Consider the following 18,452-nt stretch of genomic DNA (forward strand, 5'->3'; position numbering starts at 1 on the left):
TGAAATTCTTTCCTTCTCCCTTCCATCATCTGGAAAGCTTCCTTTCTTCAAACTCCTTCAAGGCCACCCTTCTGTCTATTCTCTGATCCTTACCTTCTTTCACAATAAACTTTAGACCAGAGAATGCTATTTCACCTGCACAAGTGATCAGCAATTTGGAACATGCTGGTGGCACTGGTCATAGATATTTTTTAAACACCCGTGATCCAGAATCCATGAACCCAGGCGTCTCCCAGACTTACACCAGCCTCTCACAGCAGACATCTGTATTTTCCCAGAATTCTACAGATGATTCTCATATACGGTGAGCATTGAGTAGTCCTGTCCTCATATGCCTCAGGCACTTTGCATGACATCTCATTAATTCTCATAATCTTACAAAGGCAACATAGCGTATCAGTTAGAAGCACAAGGTTCTGAAAATAACCTAACAGGACTAAATCCAGGCTTCAACACTTACTAAGTAATCTTTGAAGTTACTGAAGCTCTCTATGCTTCTAAAATATGGCTACTTATCCTTGTACCTATGGTAAATATTAAGCAAGTTAATACACGTAAAGCACTTCAATCAGACCCTAGTACAGTAATTACTTTTAAAATGTTAGATGGCATGGCTAGTGGTGATCCTGAGATCTAAACTGTTTTCTGAATCTAAATTCCATGCACTTTCTGACATCACTGCTACCAAGTGCTCTCCTGTATATAATAAAACGCAGTATAGGACTGATGAATGGTATGGGAAGAAGTTCTTTATTTTATCATGTGACACCACATAACAGATGCCTAACCACACAATGTAGATATGAATAAAGAAGATGGCTCAGAAGAGTGTACTAGTATTTGTGACTCAGCTAGTGACCATTATGATAAAAAGAATAAAGTTTTGACTTATTTACAGTTTTAAAATGCATTTTATATTGAGTAGTTATTTCATGTTTTCTTAAAACAATTATTGTATTGAACTAAAAATAAACTAGGTAGTTTGTTCACATAACAAATCTACATTCAAAGTCATGCTTACAAATTTTCCACTTAGTCCATTTTTCTGTTCTCAGCATTACTACAAATGCCTCATTCCGTCATCACATTGAATTCTTCAACATCCTCTATATCATTTCCAGGGGCATCTCTGGGAAGTAGTGATGCCTATCTTCCCTCGGAAGCACTAATAACCCTAATATACCCACAATTCACACCTTTTCCCTTCTTTGAGGTGTGCTGCTTTTTGGCAAGACAGAAAAAACACACTACTAGGATTTGAAAAACTAAATTCTGGGCCTGTTTAAGTCATAAACTACAGAATCTTCGGTCATATATTCTCCCCAGGCACTTGTTTCTCCACCGCAAAAAATAATTCCTATTTGCTTGGTCCTTTGTAGTCCTTTATTATTTATCTTCATGATAACCCTTACATTTAGGGTAGCATTATGCTTATTTTATAGAAGAAACTCAATCTCCAAGAAGATATAGTCTCCCAAAGATCCCCCAAGTAGTAATATATTAGGCAGAGCTAAACTCACACACTCACTCAAGATCCTAGTACTGGTACATGCTATGCTAATTAAATTTGCTAAAATGGATGAAATGGCAATTTCTCAGGTCCCTTCCAATGATCCTGTTCTCTGCTTCTACTTGCTATCTTTTTCTCTTCTCTCAACTAGCATTAACATCCGAAACTATATGTAATCACCAAATTTCATCTACCATGGTTTTTTAATTATTCTTTAAATTTTTCTCTATTTCCACATTAAATCCAGAGAAATGTTACTTTTTTGAAAGTTTCTGCTTCCTGCCTCTCTGAAGGCCATGGGACTTAACTATTTGTCAAAGCAGAAATTCCCATGGGACTTACCTATCTGTCAAAGCAGAAATTCCCAACATTTTGTAAACACCACTAATTACTTTTTATAACTGTAAAGACAATTATTCCATACTTAAAACCAATTCAAAATAAAATAAATCCTCAATACTTCTTATTCCCTGGAGTAGTAATTTTAATTAGATTCTATTGATTCATTTTCTCCTGTGTGCCTTTATTTGGGAACTACTGTTAGTCTACCCTGCTATCGAGTCTCTTTCCCTAACGAGAAAATGTCAGTCTTAAGGGTCAGGAAAGCTTTTACTTTCACTATCGCATGAGAAGAATGAACTAAACACCTAACTTGGAAAGTAAAACTCAGTTGAGGGATTCAGGACATTTCCCAAGGGGTAATATGACCAATTTAAAAGTTGGTATATGTGCCTAAAATAACAAATTAACTCTTTCACCATAATAAAGGTACAGATGTGCTCAGTCATGCTGACATGCACTTATGAAATATGCCTAAACCAAATTAAAATAAAACAAAAGATATTCTATGGCAATCTTGAAAAGTCAGGGAGCTCAATAAATATTAAGAGTATGCCCTCACAATGAGAGCATTAAATATTTGGTAATTAACATAATTTATTACGCAAAAAATGAGAAAATATACAGCAGGAGGGATGAGGAGTACACATAGGAAATTTCTGTGATTTTCTTCATTTTGATCGTATTGCTTTCTTGTCTTCAGGAGGGAAGATTTCGACTTCAAAAGTAACAAAATATTTAAGAAGAGAATTCACATCTTTCTGTTCTAACTGGTATTCCTGCATTATTTTCTCAGCAGTCCAGGTTTCTGGGAAAAGCTTATGATTATTGAGAAGTGTCAATGCTTCTACAATGGAAATTTTGCCTTTGGGAATGCTCTTAATATTTATCATATCAAAATGATGGTCTTTCGGCAATCTGAATTCCTTCGGCTCTTGACATGTTTCAGCAGCTTTTACCTAGTATCAAAAAAAAAAGGTTTTAGGATGAGAGAAAAGATTTGACATCTACTTTCATACTTCTCAAATCTACACTATTCCTCTTCAAATAACAACTAATATGGTTTGGATCTGTGTCCCCACCCAAATCTCATGTCACCAAATTGTAGTCCCCAAAGTTGGACGTAGGGCATGGTGGAAAGTGACTAGATCATGGGAGTGGATTTCCCTCTTTGGTGCTATTCTCGTGATAGAGTTCTCACCAGATATGGTTGTTTAAAAGTGTGTAGCACCTCCCCCACACCCCGCTTCTGCTTGCTCTGGCAATATAAGCCGTGCCTGCTTCCCATTCCACCATGATTATAAGTTTCCTGAGGCCTCCCCAGAAGCAGAAGCTGCTATCCTTCCTGTATGGCCTGCAGAATCGTGAGCCAATTAAACATCTTTTCTTTATAAACTACCCAGTCTCATGTATTTCTTTACATCAGTGCAAGAATGGATTAACACAAATTCTATATACGATTTTCCAAACTTCATTTTCTTATTATAATGAGCCATAGTTTAATAGTACTTTTGCCACATTGCCTTTTCATAACTATAGCTCTATCATTAAGAAATGTAGGCATCTCTAGAAAATAATAATCAAATGTATACCATCCACTCACCACATTATTTCACGTGTTTTAAAAGAACAATGAAAATAATTTATTAAAAACTGCACCTGTTTTAAAAGGGCAGGATTCTGATGCCACCCTAACAGCTGGCTTGATAACATCTATTCTGTTTCCCAGCTTTGTATTTCATACTCAGTACTCCCAAACACCTTGAATGAATTGAAATATTGCTAGTGATCTTTCTCCCGAGAAAATAAACTAACGCCTCCAATACACTCCAGTATAAATAAAACAACCTATGCACACCCATCCTTCCATCTATCTGTCCCATCCCAGCTTAATCCCAGCACGTGTGCTCTGCATTCCATTCTTGTTTCCTAGCTATGCCTATCATTCTTTCTTTTCTTTTCCTTTTTTTACTGCACTGTGCCTACTGCTGCTTTTTGGTCAAATATAGAAATGCTATAGTTACTATGTTTTTTAACATGCCCACCAAACCCAAAACCAACACCTCTTTTATGACCAGTTTCCTTCTCTTCAGGTAATGTTTAAAAGAAATAATGCTTGCTATCTCTAATGACTGCCTAGTTGCTTAATTCAGAGGACACTTTTTAGACCTCATTTGAACTCACTATAGTATCTCACTACATCTGACACTGCTGACCACTCCAATGTACTTATAACTATCTTCCCCCTTGGTTTCCATGCCACCCCCTCACAGTTTTCCATCGGTTTTTTCAGTGGGTCCTTCGGGGTTTTATTCATGGACCCTTTTCCTTTTGCTTACCCTTAAATGTCAGTGTGTGACATTTAAGAGTGCCCAGGCCTTCTTCTCACTCTACACATTCTTCCAAAGTAATCCCACACACTCCTCTAACTTCCATTACTGCCTACAAGTTAATTACTTCCAAAGCTGTGATCGTAAACCAAGACCTTTTCTTGATTTCCCAACCCAAATGCTTAACAGGTATCTCCACTTAAATGACCTACATGCTCCTCAAATTCAATATTATCTGAAACTAAACCTATCACCAGTTCTACTCCCATATCCTCAATTTCAATGACCAACACTACCTACCTCTCATGCCAAAAATGAGATTATACTTGCACCTCCCTCTCCCTTACTCATTACACCAATCAATGACCAAATCCTGTTGACACTGCATCATATGTCTCTCTCAAACTCACTCACATCTCCCCCATACTACTAAATCACCCTAGTCCAAGCCAATGTCTCTTGCAGAAATGACTGCAAATACCTCCTATTTGGTCTCTTCTAATTAGATAAAATGCACTTTGTTCCCCCGCCAGGCTACTTTCAAATCTAACATCACTTTTGACCATTAACTCTTTAATGACTTCCCATTGTCTTCAGAATAAAACAAAACTCCTTAGCAAGAAAAATAAGGGCCTTTACGATCTGACCCCTATCACTCTCCATCCCAACTCACTTCTCCCAAATTCACATTTCACATTTTCTCATAACTGCAGTGAACTCTAACCATTCTTCAAAGGCATCACACACTCTTGTATCTTTATATTGCAAACTAGGCCTGAAACACTCTTCTCAACTTTTTCACTTTCCAAATCTCAAAGCTATTTTCCTATTCCCAGGTAAGGTAGATCTTCCTTCCACTCCAAGCACATCTGTATTCAGATTTCCTTTCTAATTAATAGTCAATACTAAAATAAATAATTATTTGACACAAAAAAATCTAAGAAGATTCAAAATCCTCTCGACTGAAAAAAAAAAAACCCTTAGGAAATTAAAAATAGAAGAAAATGTCCCAAACGTGATATAAGTATTTTTTAATCGAAAACAAGTATCATTCTATTATAATTAATGCTGAAACACTTGAGACATCCTGTGGAAGGAAGGAACAGATGAGAATGCCTACTTTCACTGGCATGTTAATGTATACAACACAATAAAAGAATGAAGTAAAAATACTAGAAAGAGAAGTTTTTAATTCTACATAGATATATCTTTAGAAAAGAGAATCAACTGAAAACCTAACAGAAATAATAACCTAGCAATGTGGGTAGCTACACTATAAAAACCACTCACTTTCTGATATATAGTAGTACCTGGCTTTATCTACAGTTACCTGAAGTCAACTACAGACCAAAAATATTAAATGAAAAACTCCAGAAGTAAACAATCCATAAGGTTCAAACTGCAAACCATTCTGAGCAGCATAATGAATTCTTACGCTATCCATTCCATCCTGTCTAGGATGTGAATCCTCCCTTTGTCCAGTGTATCCATGCTGTACAGGCTACCTGCCTGTTAGTCACTTAGTAGCCATTCTGGTTATCAGACTGTGTGGCATCACTGTGCTTGTGTCCAAGTAACCCTTACTTTACCAAGAATAGCCCCAAAGCACAAGGGTAGTGATGCTGGCAACTCAGTTATGCCAAAGAGAAGCCATAAAGTGCTTCCTTCAAGTGAAAAGGTAAAAGTTATTGACTTAATGAGGAAAAAAAATCATATGGCGAGAGTGCTAACATGGATAATAAGAATGAATCTTCGAACCCTGAAATTGTTGTAACTGTTCCATTTTATTAGTTGTTAATTAAACTTTATCATAGTATATATTTATAGGAAAAAGCAGTATATATAGGGTTCAGTACTACGCTCAGTTTCAGGCATCTACTGAGGGTCTTGGAACCTATCTGCTGATTAGGGAAGACTACTGTAGCAGCAATAAACAGTTTAAATTTAAAGTGAAAAAAGCTCCCATCACAGTAACAACGTTCCCTTTACCACTCAAAGACTTAATAATTAAAATGTTAATTCTCCTCAAATTAATCCATAAATTCCCATTCAATTATACTCAAAATCCAAATAGGACTTATTAAAGAACCTGACAATTTCATTCTCAAATTCATCTGGAAAAATATTAATGTGTGAAAAGAGACCAGAAACTTTTTAAAAGAATGAGAGAAGACTATAAGAAATATCAACACACATTATAAAGCTCTATTAATTAAAACTATGGTTCTAGTGTATAAATAGAAAAATAAGTAAAACTGATGAGTCCATAAATAGACCCATATGTGTATCTAGAGATGCATTTTAAGTAAGTGGAGAAAGGTCTGGGCTCTTCAACAAATTATATTTACACAACAAGCCATCTGTTTGAAAAGAGGTTCAACTGATCTATTCCACACATCAAAGACCACATTTAATGCCAGATAAAGATTTTAATATAAAATGTAGTTATAAAACTACTGGAAGAAAATACAGAAGAGTTTATATGATGGTAGAGTGGGCCCAGTATTCCTTTACCACAAAAGGCAAAAAGACTGAAATATTTGACAGAATTTTGAATAAATATGTTAAAAAGTCAGACAACAAATAAATTATTTGCCATATGAAAGGCACAGTATCAATGATGTCTAGAGGCATCACAACCATGAACTGCCCGAAGGAAAAAAAGGGACACAGAACATAAACAAAAGGCAATTCCAGTTTTCATTATCACTCTCCCTAAGGAATCTAGACTTTTCCTAATGTCCCCATGAAATTTTAATATCACTATATACGTATCTCTTTACGCATTATATGTATAACTGAGTCTTATACATACAAAGCATTAATTTTTTTTTGCTCCCAAGAGTGAATTTTCAGATGCATAATTAAGTAACATGAGAGAAAGAATACTTGGGGAGTATTACTCAACACCTATTTTAAAATGACGTAAGAACACAGACATTAACCCTATACTTTTTTCATGTGAGCATGTGGTGATAACTGAACCCTACAATTACTATGTGCAGCGATTAACAAATCTTGTTTTATTTCTCCTCTGTAGTGAAAATTATATTAATAATTCTATCTGTGCAAATATCCAGAGAGAGAGGGACAGTACCAGAATATTTTAGAATGAAAAAAAAAATCTGGAAGTTGTTGGCACTTCCTTGGCCTTTAATCAAACTTTACCCCTAACTAGAATCTTCCTGCCCCCAAAAACTCATCTGGTTAACTCCAACTGATCCCTCCTCAGGCCTGAACATAACTATCACTTCCTCAGAAACCATCCTTGATCCTCCCATTTCAAAGAGGTCCCTCCAATATACTCAGCAGTGCACGTACTTTTCCCATAATTATGGTCACATTGTTGCTCATTTGTTTAATGGCTGTGTCCTTCACAACATCATAGGCCCTGTGAAAATAAGGACTAGTTTTGTTCATCACTATATACAAAGCACTTGTGCCCAGGACTTACATAATACAGAATATGGATTTACACATAGGTTCCCATTCCTAATGTATTCTTTGATCCTTCTAATTTTAAATATCCTATCTGAATACATCCTTAAAAAAACAAACAGGAACACCCCACAAAATCCAACAACACCACTTACTAAAGGAGTCTCTGAGATTAGAACATACCTCAATCCACAGAAGAATGAGAAAATAATATTAAAGCTCTGCTTTTGTCACTCAAATGACAACCACTGGAAGTAATGCCTTACCAAATCCTACAAATTCTGAAATACTATGAAATAATTCACACAGTTGCTTGTATCAATACTTCCACAAGTTATTTTAGAATTCTGGTAAATATCCAGTGAACCAAGGCATAAGTGTCTTGCTGTCTTACACCAGTGTGCTTAAACTTTGCCAAGGCGTGTAGATTGATCACAACACACACTTGCAGAGCACTCTTTTTACTACTTGCCACACTTAATCATTTTCCTGAAGCCCCAAAATAAGTAAATTGTGTATTCACTTAATTAAACACACATTTACCTGCAAGGAAGACACAGGATCTTTGGAATCAACATACACATCTTTTAGAAACGACAGCAGCTTTTCATCTTTACGAGCAATCTCTCCTTTAACTTCTGGATAGACTAAGGAAAGGAAAAAAGTCACAATATTAAAATCAAGGAAAATTTCCTGTAATATCCTAAACGCTTAACACAAACGCTTTCTTTTATTTTCTTTTTTGAGTCGGAGTCTCGCTCTGTTGCCCAGACTGGAGTGCAGTCGCGCGATCTCGGCTCCCTGCAACCTCCGCCTCCCGGGTTCGAGAGATTCTCCCACCTCAGCCTCCCGACAAGCTGAGGCTACAGGCGCGCCACCACGCCCGGCTAATTTTTGCATTGTTTGTAGAGACGGGGTTTAGCCATGTTGGCCAGGCTGGTCTCGAACTCCTGACCTCAGGTGATCTGCCCGCCTCGGCCTCCCAAAGTGCTGAGATTACAGGCTTGAGCTACCGCGCCCGGCCTAACCACTTTAATTTTTTTAAAAAATAAACATAATCATTTGGACTGTTAGGAAAATACTTTAGATGGAAATCAAAATTCCAGGTCAGGCTCTGCGTCCATCGTCCAGTGAAGACCCCTAGAGAAAGCTCTGTGACCCTCTCGGATTTTGATTCCCTGTATCAAGTCCGTGACAGCAGCCGGCGAGGGCCTGGTTAGCGGGAGCACTGGCTGCTGCCTCTGGGTCTCGGAAGTAGGCGGGGCCGCCGACCTCACCGCGGGCGCGGAGGACAGTCTCAATGTCACCGGCCTGGCGGCTCCCCCTTCCAACGCTCCGCCAACCCGAGCGGCTGCGGCCGAGCAGGCTGACGCCGATCCCTCGGCCTCCGGACCCACGCTAGGGACAGCCGGGCAGCACAGGGACTCCGCGCCCCCGGGCCCCGAAACGCCCTCGCACCACTCACGACTAATCTGCTCTCGCAGGAGGCTGTTGGTAGAGGGGTGTCTGGGAGCGACAGAGGGCTTCATCTTGCTGATTTCCCGTTCCGCTCGGTTCTCTAGGTTGAAATTCCTGATACCGCGAATCACTAGTGCTCCCATCTCCTCATAACATTATGCGCTCAGGTTCAGGCCGCACGTGGGAACACCGGCGCAGGACAACTCCGGGACACCCGGAGCATGCGCACAAGTGAGGGGAAGCCCCGCCGCGGGCGCTTAAATGCGTGCCCGTCGCCCCCTAGCGCTCGGGAGGCCACACACCGCTTCTCTGCCCAGGGCATTTAAAAGGGAGCCCCTCCCTTCGGGGCGAGTGACGGCTCCCACGAGGGCCGCTTCCGGCGGGAGGTGGCGGGGCTTAAGTCCCCAGACCCACGGTTGCTTTTAACGCTGGAACTCCGAGGGAGTCACCCGGGAAGCTCTGTAAAGTTCTGTGCCGGGCCCTACCCCAGACTTTCTGATTTAATTCTTGTGGAGTGAGGCCCAGCATTGGATAAGACTCCACGTGATTCCAAAGTTTCAGTGAAGAGCTGAAAATCAAAGTCGTAAGGAAGTTGACCTTGAAGTTGTTTCACAGGGCAATGCCACCAAAGAGTTAGCCGATAAAAATGGAACTTACTGAACCAGGGTCAAACTGGGCTCTCAAGTTGCCCTTTCCTGCTTTTGTGAAAGGAAAATAATGAAAGGATGTTCCCTTTCGATGAGTATTTGTTCTCAGCCGCTCTCATTTAAATGCCTCTTATTTTCCTGTCCCCCCGCCTGATGCATTTTCAAGCCACTGTATTCTTTTTCCATTATTTTTTACATCCCGTTCTCATTTGACCTAATGGTATCGATTTTAGTTATACTTTCCCTTATCTTATTTTTGCTACTAATTTACTTCTCCATGCTACTAAATGCTGAGTCATTCCCTCTCCTATTTCTCTTCTCTCTTGCCTTCTTCATTCTTTTTAAGCCTCTGTGTAATTTAATGAAAGGAACAGACAATAAGACGTCAGAAAAAAAAAACAAACAAACAAAAAAACGAGTGTTACATTCACCTTCTCCGTCTCTCTCCATTTCCTGAATGGGTTACTGTAGTGCTGCTTTTATTTAAGACCCTTTAGAAATATTGTTATTAATCTAAAATAAAACCCACCAGGAAGGAAGCAGTAGGAAGGAAGTTACAGTATTTCTCTTACTGTGGCTGCAAAATCTATTTTTAGTGTTCTGATCTCTGCTTAGCAAAATGAAGTAGAGTGGATGTTTTTAACCAGCTTAAAGTAAGAAAATATTGATGTAAAGATAATCGAATAGAATAATAATAATAAAACAAGAATCAAAGAACCAAAATGAAGAAAGGGAAAGTTTTTTAAAAAGAAAACTAATGTAATCATTAAGTATAATGCTTAATCAGAGCAAAAGCACTGCAAGGAAGACGGCTTCAGCCACTCTAATTTAAATGCCCTTTATTTAATTATACTGAACATTTTTACAGGGATTGGTATTTGGAATTTATAGAAGCTGAAATCAGTGATCTCAGATAGCATTAACTGGGAAGTTATCCTGAAGGTGGCAGGCTGCTCCAAGATTTCTATCTTTGATACTTTTAAGCATGCTTGTGATTCAGGGCTTTTTAGGCACGGTATTTCTATTTCTATGGGTGCTAAGAAATTTTAATCTGCCTCATTATGTCTATGTGCTTTAATCATGGTAGCAATTCGACTCACTGCCTGTTAAAATATTTTAAAAGTGAAAATCTCATTTTCATAGAAATTCCACCGAACTTCGGGCAGTATGAAAAAGTAATGTTAGAAGTGACTGTCAGGACAGTAGGGATTACAATATGAAATAATTATTTGAATTCACACATTCCAATAGAGCTTGGATTCAACATTGAAAGAGCTTCCAGCATGTGTCAGCTGCTTTGCCTGATCCTGGCCCAGTGCTGCTCAGGCCCTCAAATTGCAAAACAGAAGGCAGATGCACTCCATCAGAAACTCACAATTGGCTGTCACCCTTTGGGAATCATGGAAATAAAACCTGAACCATAAATGCATAATTCCAGCTCTTCTTGTCAAAACATATAAATTAACAGGAACTCTGAACTTAAGAACTCCTGTTGGGCTTATGTTAAGGATTGAAGTCAGATCCCCAAGGAAAGTATAACTAGGATGCTGCTTAGAATGAAGCTTCCATCTGAGTGGAGTATTATGATGCATGTGTATGGCTGAATATCTTAAGATACTAATAAACCCAGGGTCTTGACAACACACTAGAATGTAAATTCTGAGGACAGAACTTTGTCTGTTTTGTTCACTGTTCAACACATTGAACAGCTAGTACACAGTAGGTACTAAACAATTATCAAATAAAGGTCAAATGAACTGAAAGACAAGTAGGATCCCTGAGCTGGAGTCCAGACCCCAGACAAGTTCTCTCTGCCTGAACACTAGCCCTGCTTCCAGAAGTGAGTCCTTATGCAAGTAACTTAATGTGGTTGAACACACTTTGCTCATCTTAAAATTGGGATAATAGTAATCACCTAAGGGGTTTTACACAGATTAAAAATATGTGTCTAGTACAATGCCCAGCTCAGAATCTGATGTTCAATATTTGCATTGTTTTTCATTTTTCAGAGGAGAAGGGAGCAGTTTTAAAAAGGACACATATTCTGAAGCTCTGGTGAATAGGTGAATGAAAGTGATAAAAAAATTTGAGATTACGGTAAGACTCATGTTCTTCAATAATTTAATTTTTAAAAAATAAAAAATGCTAAATTTGATTTTTATTTGCTGATTAACGTGCTCAGCACACGTGGTGGTATTGTTAGATTTATTAAGGTTGGAATATGGGTGGGAATCATTAGTTCTCGGGCATAAAATGCCACCTGCCTGTGCCTGACATTGGCCACAGAAATAGTCCCCACTTTGTTTCCCTCTGCCCTCATGTCTTTCTCTCTGCCTAGACTTTTACCATTGGGTACTCCTTCTTTTGAACATAATTCAACAGCATTCTGCGTTCTCCAAAGGATTACAGTAGCTAAACCCAGGTGACAGTTGGCTCAAGGGGCCCAGGACAGCCCTCAGAGGTTTCATCAATCAAATCTCAACCACTAGTGAGGAGCACAACAGATTTATGGAGGAATGACTTATTCTGGCAGAGGTTCTGGTGTTCAGGCAGAGAGAACCTCTCCAGGGCCTGGATTCCAGATTAGAAACCAGAGAATTTGTAGGAGTCCAACTGAAATAATTTACAAGGTTCCCAAGTTTGGCCAATTTCATAGTGATGCAGTGTTTTGGGTCTGTAAAACCTAGAATACTGGGAGCGGGGGGTAGTGCCACAAACTCAAAACCAAAACAAACTAGGCTTTGTGCAGATCCAGTATTCATATTGAGGAACACTGGGTCTCAGATTAGAGATTAGAATGATCAACCAGCAATTATGCCCAGATGCCTGCTTTGTGGTTACTGCACTCATGACTTTTGTCATTGTATTCATTTGTATTCATTTCCCATTGCTGCTAGCAAATTACCGCAAATGGTTTAAAACAAAACAATTTATTATCTTACAGTTTGGAGATCAGAAGTCCAAAATGAGATTTTTAAGGATAAAATCAAGGTGTCAGCAGAGATATATTCCTCCTGGATGCCTTTTTTTTTTTTTTACTTTAAATGGGGAAGGGGTTCTTCTAGAGACTTCCCGCATTTCTTGGCAGCCAGCAGTTGCATCACTTCATTGTCACATTTCCTTCTCTGTGACTTTCCTACCTCCCTCTTTCCATCGTAACACCCTTATGATTACATTGGACCTGCGTGGATAATCCAGGATAATCTCTCCATCTGAAGATCCTTGATTTAGTCACATTTGTAAAGTGCATTTTGCTATGTAAGGTAGCATTTGCAGGTTCAGGGATTAAGAGACATTTTTGGAAGGCTTATTGTTTTGTTCACTACAGTCATCAACTTTAGATGACGGTTTGCTGCACAGATCATCCCATCACCCAGGTATTAAGCCCAGTATCCATTAGATCTTCTTCCTGATTCTCTCCCTCCTCCCACCCTCCGACCTCCAACAGGCTCCAGTGTTTGTTGTTCCCCCTCCATGTGTGTATGTGTTCTCATCATTTAGCTCCCACTTATAAGTGAGAACATGCAGTATTTGGTTTTCTGTTCCTGTGTTAGTTTGCTAAAGATAATGGCCTCCAGCTCCATCCATGTCCCTGCAAAGGACATGATCTTATTCCTTTTTATGGCTTCATAGTATTCCATGGTGTATATGTACCACATTTTATCCAGTCTATCATTGATGGACAGTTAGGTTGATTCCATGTCTTTGCTATTGTGAATAGTGCTGCAATGAACATACATGTGCATATGTCTTTTTATTAATAATAGAACAATTTATATTCCTTTGAGTATATACCCAGTAATGGGATTGTGGGCTTGGATAGTATTTCTGCCTCTAGGTTTCTGGGGAATTGCCACACTATCTTCCACAATGGTTGAACTAATTTACACTCCCACCAATAGTGTAAAAGTGTTCCTTTTTCTCCACAATCTTGCCAGCATCTGTTTTTGTTTTTGTTTTTGTTTTGACATTTTAATAATAGCCATTCTGACTGGTGTGGGATGCTATCTCATTGTGGTTTTGATTTGCATTTCTCTAAGGATCAGTGATATTGAGCTTTTTTTCATGTTTGTTGGCTGCATGTATGTTTTATTTTGAGAAGTGTCTGGGCATGTTCTTTGCATACTTTTTAATTGGATTATTTGTTTGTTTCTTGTAAATTTGTTTATAGGCGTTGCATATTGGACCTTTGTCAGATGCATGGATTGCAAAACTTTTCTCCCATTCTGTAGGTTGTCTGTTTACTCTGTTGATAGTTTCTTTTTTGTGCAGAGCTCTTTAGTTTAATTAGATCCCATTTGCCAATTTTTGTTTTTGTTGCAATTGCTTTTGGTGTCTTCGTCATGAAATCTTTACCATGCCTATGTCCTGAATGGTATTGCCTAGGTTTTCTTCTAGGGTTTTCATAGTTTTGGGTTTTACATTTCAGTCTGTAATCCATCTTGAGTTGATTTCTGTGTATGGTGTAAGGAAGGGGTCCAGTTTTAATTTTCTGCATATTCTAGCCAGTTCTCCCAGCAACATTTATTAAATAGGGAATCCTTTCCCCCATTGCTTGTTTTTGTCAGGTTTGTCAAAGATCAAATGATCATAGGTGTGTGGTCTTATTTCTGGGTTCCTCTTTTCTGTTCCATTGGCCTATGTGTCTGTTCTTGTACCAGTACCATGCTGTTTTGGTTACTGTAGCCCTGTAGAATAGTTTGAAGTCAGGTAGCATGTTGCCGCCAGCTTTTTTCTTTCTGTTTAGATAAATCAAAAAATTTCTTTAAAGGACTGAAGATAAAGCAGAAATCAACCACACAGAAAACAAACAACAAAAAAAAACAGTTGGTTCCTTGAGAATATAAAATCTGACAAATTCAAGTGAAAATAAAAGAACAAATAAAATACATTAAGAATTTTTTGGAAAGAATACGATCATAAATATGGAGACATTTTTTTAAATTGAAAGAAAATATATATAAATATATATACAATTATAATACTTACTCTCATTCCCTTGTGTGACATGCTTCTAGCCAATAGAATATAGCAAATATGAATATAACACAATCGAATAGAAAAGAATAGAATAAGGAATAGATACAGAATAGAATAGATTACGGTCACTCTCATGATTACTTTACATTATATAAGACCACCTTAGGAGACAAGAGTGAGGGATTCTCCTGTTGGCTTTGAAGAAGCAAGCTGCCATGTTGTTAGAGGATCTTTGAGAGAACCTGCAAGGAGGCCATATGGCAAGGAACTTCAGGGCCTTTGGGAGGTAAGAGGAGGCCCGATGTGACAGCCCACAAGAAACAGATATCTCAATCCCACCACCATAAGGAACTTAATTTTGCCAATGACCAAGTAAGCCTGGAAGAGTACCCCTGAGCTCCAGAAATTAAGGCAGTTCAGTCAATCCTATGTAATCATTTCAATGGATTCCCAATATAGATTTGGTTAAATTCAACACCCATTACTAAAAATACATTTAGCTAACAGGGAATAGAAGAAAACTGCCTTTACTTTATAAAGGGTACAATTCAGAAAATTATGGCAAATATCGTATTGACCAGCTCACAAAGAACAAGAAAAGGAAATAAGAATTATAAATGTTATGTTATTTGTTCTTTTGCAAAATTAGCACTTCTGTCTGCCTTGAAAATTATAGAGAATCTGGCAAAGACTATTAGATCTAATAAATAAATTTAATAAGGTAGCTGAATAGCTAGCTATCCTACCCATCAGTTAGAAAACATAATGACCAAGGCCCAGGGCAATGGCTCACACCCGTAATCCCAGCACTTTTGGGAGCCTGGGGCAGGCAGATTACCTGAGGTCAGGAGATTGAGACCAGCCTGGCCAACATACTAAAACCCCGTCTCTACTATAAATACAAAAATTTTCCAGGCATGATGGTGCACATCGATAATCCCAGCTGCTCAGGAGGCTGAGGCACAAGAATAGCTTGAACCCAGGAGGCGGAGGTTGCAGTGAGCCGATATCAGGCCACTGTACTCCAGCCTGGGCAACAGAGCAAGACTTTGTCAAAAAAAAAAAAAAAAAAAAGAAAAGAAAAAGAAAGAAAATATAATGGTCAAAAAATTTCATGGATGATGACCACAAAAATTATTATGCATCTCGAAATAAACTTGAAATATGTGTAAAACTAAAACTTAGTAAACCACAAAAATTATGAAAGAACATAAAGAAACACACATGGCTAGACATACCAGGTTCCTTGATGCAAAGTCTGAATAGTGTAAAAATGTCAATTATTCAAAAAATTAATTAATTTGATACACTTTCAATTTCAATTAAAATTGTAATAGCGTTTTTAATGAAGCTCGATCACTGATAATAAAGTTCATCCAGAAAAGAAAATATGAAAGAATAGCCAATAGATTTTAGAAAAACAGCAATTAGGTAGGACTTACCCTATATCAGAATATGATATAAAACTTTATGGTATGGTATTGTTACAGGAATAGGCAAATAAATAGTGACAAGACAGATGTGATTATGTACAGGGCAACATTTAAAATCACTCTGTGATGTAAGGATATAATTCTTTCCCCATAAACAACTGAATTTCCAACATCATTTATCAGTTTGCTTTTTCCCCTTGCTCTCCATTCCCATTTATAACAATTCCCTGTCTTCTTTCTTCACTCCAGCTTTCCCTGCTGCATCAGTTTGCTTTCATACTGTATCTGTCCCTCCATGTCCTCATGAACTTGCTTTATATGGAAGTAAGGAACACCTCATCATAGCAGTTTTGGTTTGATTCCAATGAGATCTTTTTTTTCCATCCATAGCAATTTAATCAATACAACAGTTGTCCATCTTGGCCCCAGCTACAGAAGGTAGTCTTGATAATTTGGCACAGGGAAAAAAAAGTGAAAAGATGCAAAGAACAAGCAAATACTCAAGAAATCATTTTCATTTCAAAGATTATGAAAGATTATGAAAATAAAGAATATAGAACAGGGAATTCCAGAAGGACCCCAGAAAATATGTGAAAAGCAAGTTGTAACCAAAGCATTTTACCTTAACTGGTAAACCCAACTCAATAACTCCAGAGCTAGGGTCTGTGTTTGTTCTCTCCGTCTGTCTGGTCCTTTCTCCCTTTGTAACTGTCTCTGATTCTTTTCTTAGCAGCCATGGTGTAACATAATGATTACTAACCAGCTTGGCATCAGACAAACCTGCATCTGAATCTTGGTTCTATCACTTCCTGACTGCATAATTTTGTGGTAAGCTCCTTAAATTTTCTGGTATTCAGTTTCTTTATCTGTAAAATGGAAATATAACAATACTACTTATTTCATAGGGTTGTTGTGAGATATGATCCATTTGAAAGCATAAGTCTTGTCATACAGTAAACATTCAAAAACTATTAGCTATTATTCTTTTATATAACAAAATACTAATATAATAGGAAACATTTTAATAATTATAGTTTAGGTTTGATTGGCACTTTATGGCTTAGAAGTTAGTATCTTCAGATTCCTTATTCATTAACACATTATTGCAATACTCTGTAGTATTATACCCAACTATACATATTTAAGAGAACCATTTAGCTGCCTGAGGCTGTTTTTAAAATGGTGAAGGATACTCTGGGAAGTATATGAAGTGTCCTTGCTCATAGACTTTTTGGATTAGTTTCTTATTGTCAATCCATGACCTTGCAGGCACAGCTCTGCCTTTTTATTCTGGTAGTCCCACCTTTTGTTAGCTTCTGTCTCCATTGTCCCTAGGAATTGCACACAGCCACCCCTAAGCATCAGTGCACACAATCCTCTGCCGAGTTTCATTTCTGTTGGATGTGACACTGTTAGGTGAGGCAGGGAGGCAGGTGTGGTAGACAGAAGTCTATGACCCCCAATGACCCTAAACAGGGAACCCAGTTAAGCCTGCTTTGGACTTCTAACCTACAGAACCATAGAATAATAAATAGATATTGTTTTAAGCCTCTAAGTTTGTAGTGATTAGTTGTGAAGCAATAGAAAATGAATACAGCAAGAATAAAGTTGGGGATTAAGAGGGTGGTGGAATGAAGAGGGATGGGTAAAGAGACCGGGAGAATGGGATATAGCTATTATAGAAGTCATTGCAGGTCAGGTGGTGGTAGAGGTTTAAAATGATCGGAAAGAGTCTGGTTTTTATTTTCTCTGAGTGAAGGTCTCTTGAGTGGAAATTAGAGAGCCATAGGTCTCTCTTAGAAAGATGACTGACAGCTACATAAAGGATGTTTTAGAAGAGAAAGACCAGGTAAGGTGCTGTTATTCTCATCCATGTGGGAGGTTAAGTTTTTTGGTCCAATTTTCTTAGGGATATCTATTTAATAAGAGGTCTTTGTAGTGGCACTGCTTAGATATGACTTCCACTTGAGCTGGACAGATAGACAGCAACAGTAACCTAAATAGTGGGATTTGAGATTCAGAGGCTGAATAAGTATAGTCATCTATTTTTTCTCATTCCACTCTTGGTGTAGTTAATCCTTTTTAGAGCTTTTGATTCCATAGAAGCTCAGGATGTATGGATGCAATCTTGTTCACTTAGAGGTTCCCAACCCACAACCATGGGCACAGTAGCTCTTATATGTCCAGAGAAGGCTTCCAGAGAAGTCTCCAGAGAAGGCTAAAAATATGACGTCTGTCTACAGCTCTCAGCAGTGTGATCTAGTAAAAGAGTATGTGAAGTTCCCATTTTCATCAAAAAGATAATTCATGTACCTAG

The 18,452-nt window shown here is 38.2% G+C and overlaps 2 protein-coding genes across 2 annotated transcripts in view, besides 1 other annotated feature; one reads left to right on the top strand and one right to left on the bottom strand.

The window, feature by feature from the left end:
• On the bottom strand, positions 732–9,308 carry NDUFAF4 (NADH:ubiquinone oxidoreductase complex assembly factor 4). The gene is made up of 3 exons (NM_014165.4): positions 9,083–9,308; positions 8,161–8,264; positions 732–2,808 (listed from the first exon to the last, which is right to left on the bottom strand). The coding sequence occupies exons 1-3, from the start codon at positions 9,216–9,218 to the stop codon at positions 2,521–2,523; spliced, it is 528 nt and encodes a 175-aa protein (NP_054884.1). The 5' UTR covers positions 9,219–9,308; the 3' UTR covers positions 732–2,520.
• Positions 9,131–9,230: an enhancer, noted in NCBI's record as "active region_24846". NCBI's record gives its function as "activates an Ori minimal core promoter by ATAC-STARR-seq in GM12878 lymphoblastoid cells {active_cell/tissue: GM12878}" and the evidence as "EXISTENCE:reporter gene assay evidence [ECO:0000049][PMID:35858748]".
• Positions 9,500–18,452, top strand: part of KLHL32 (kelch like family member 32) — a 242,671-nt gene continuing 233,718 nt past the window's right edge. Inside the window, exons 1-2 of the mRNA NM_001323258.2 lie at positions 9,500–11,562; positions 11,732–11,819. The gene's annotated coding sequence lies outside the window, so the exon portion shown is untranslated. The remainder of the gene's footprint in view (positions 11,563–11,731; positions 11,820–18,452) is intronic.

The sequence above is a fragment of the Homo sapiens genome, chromosome 6 (assembly GCF_000001405.40).
Source record: "Homo sapiens chromosome 6, GRCh38.p14 Primary Assembly".
NCBI classification, from domain to species: domain Eukaryota; kingdom Metazoa; phylum Chordata; class Mammalia; order Primates; family Hominidae; genus Homo; species Homo sapiens.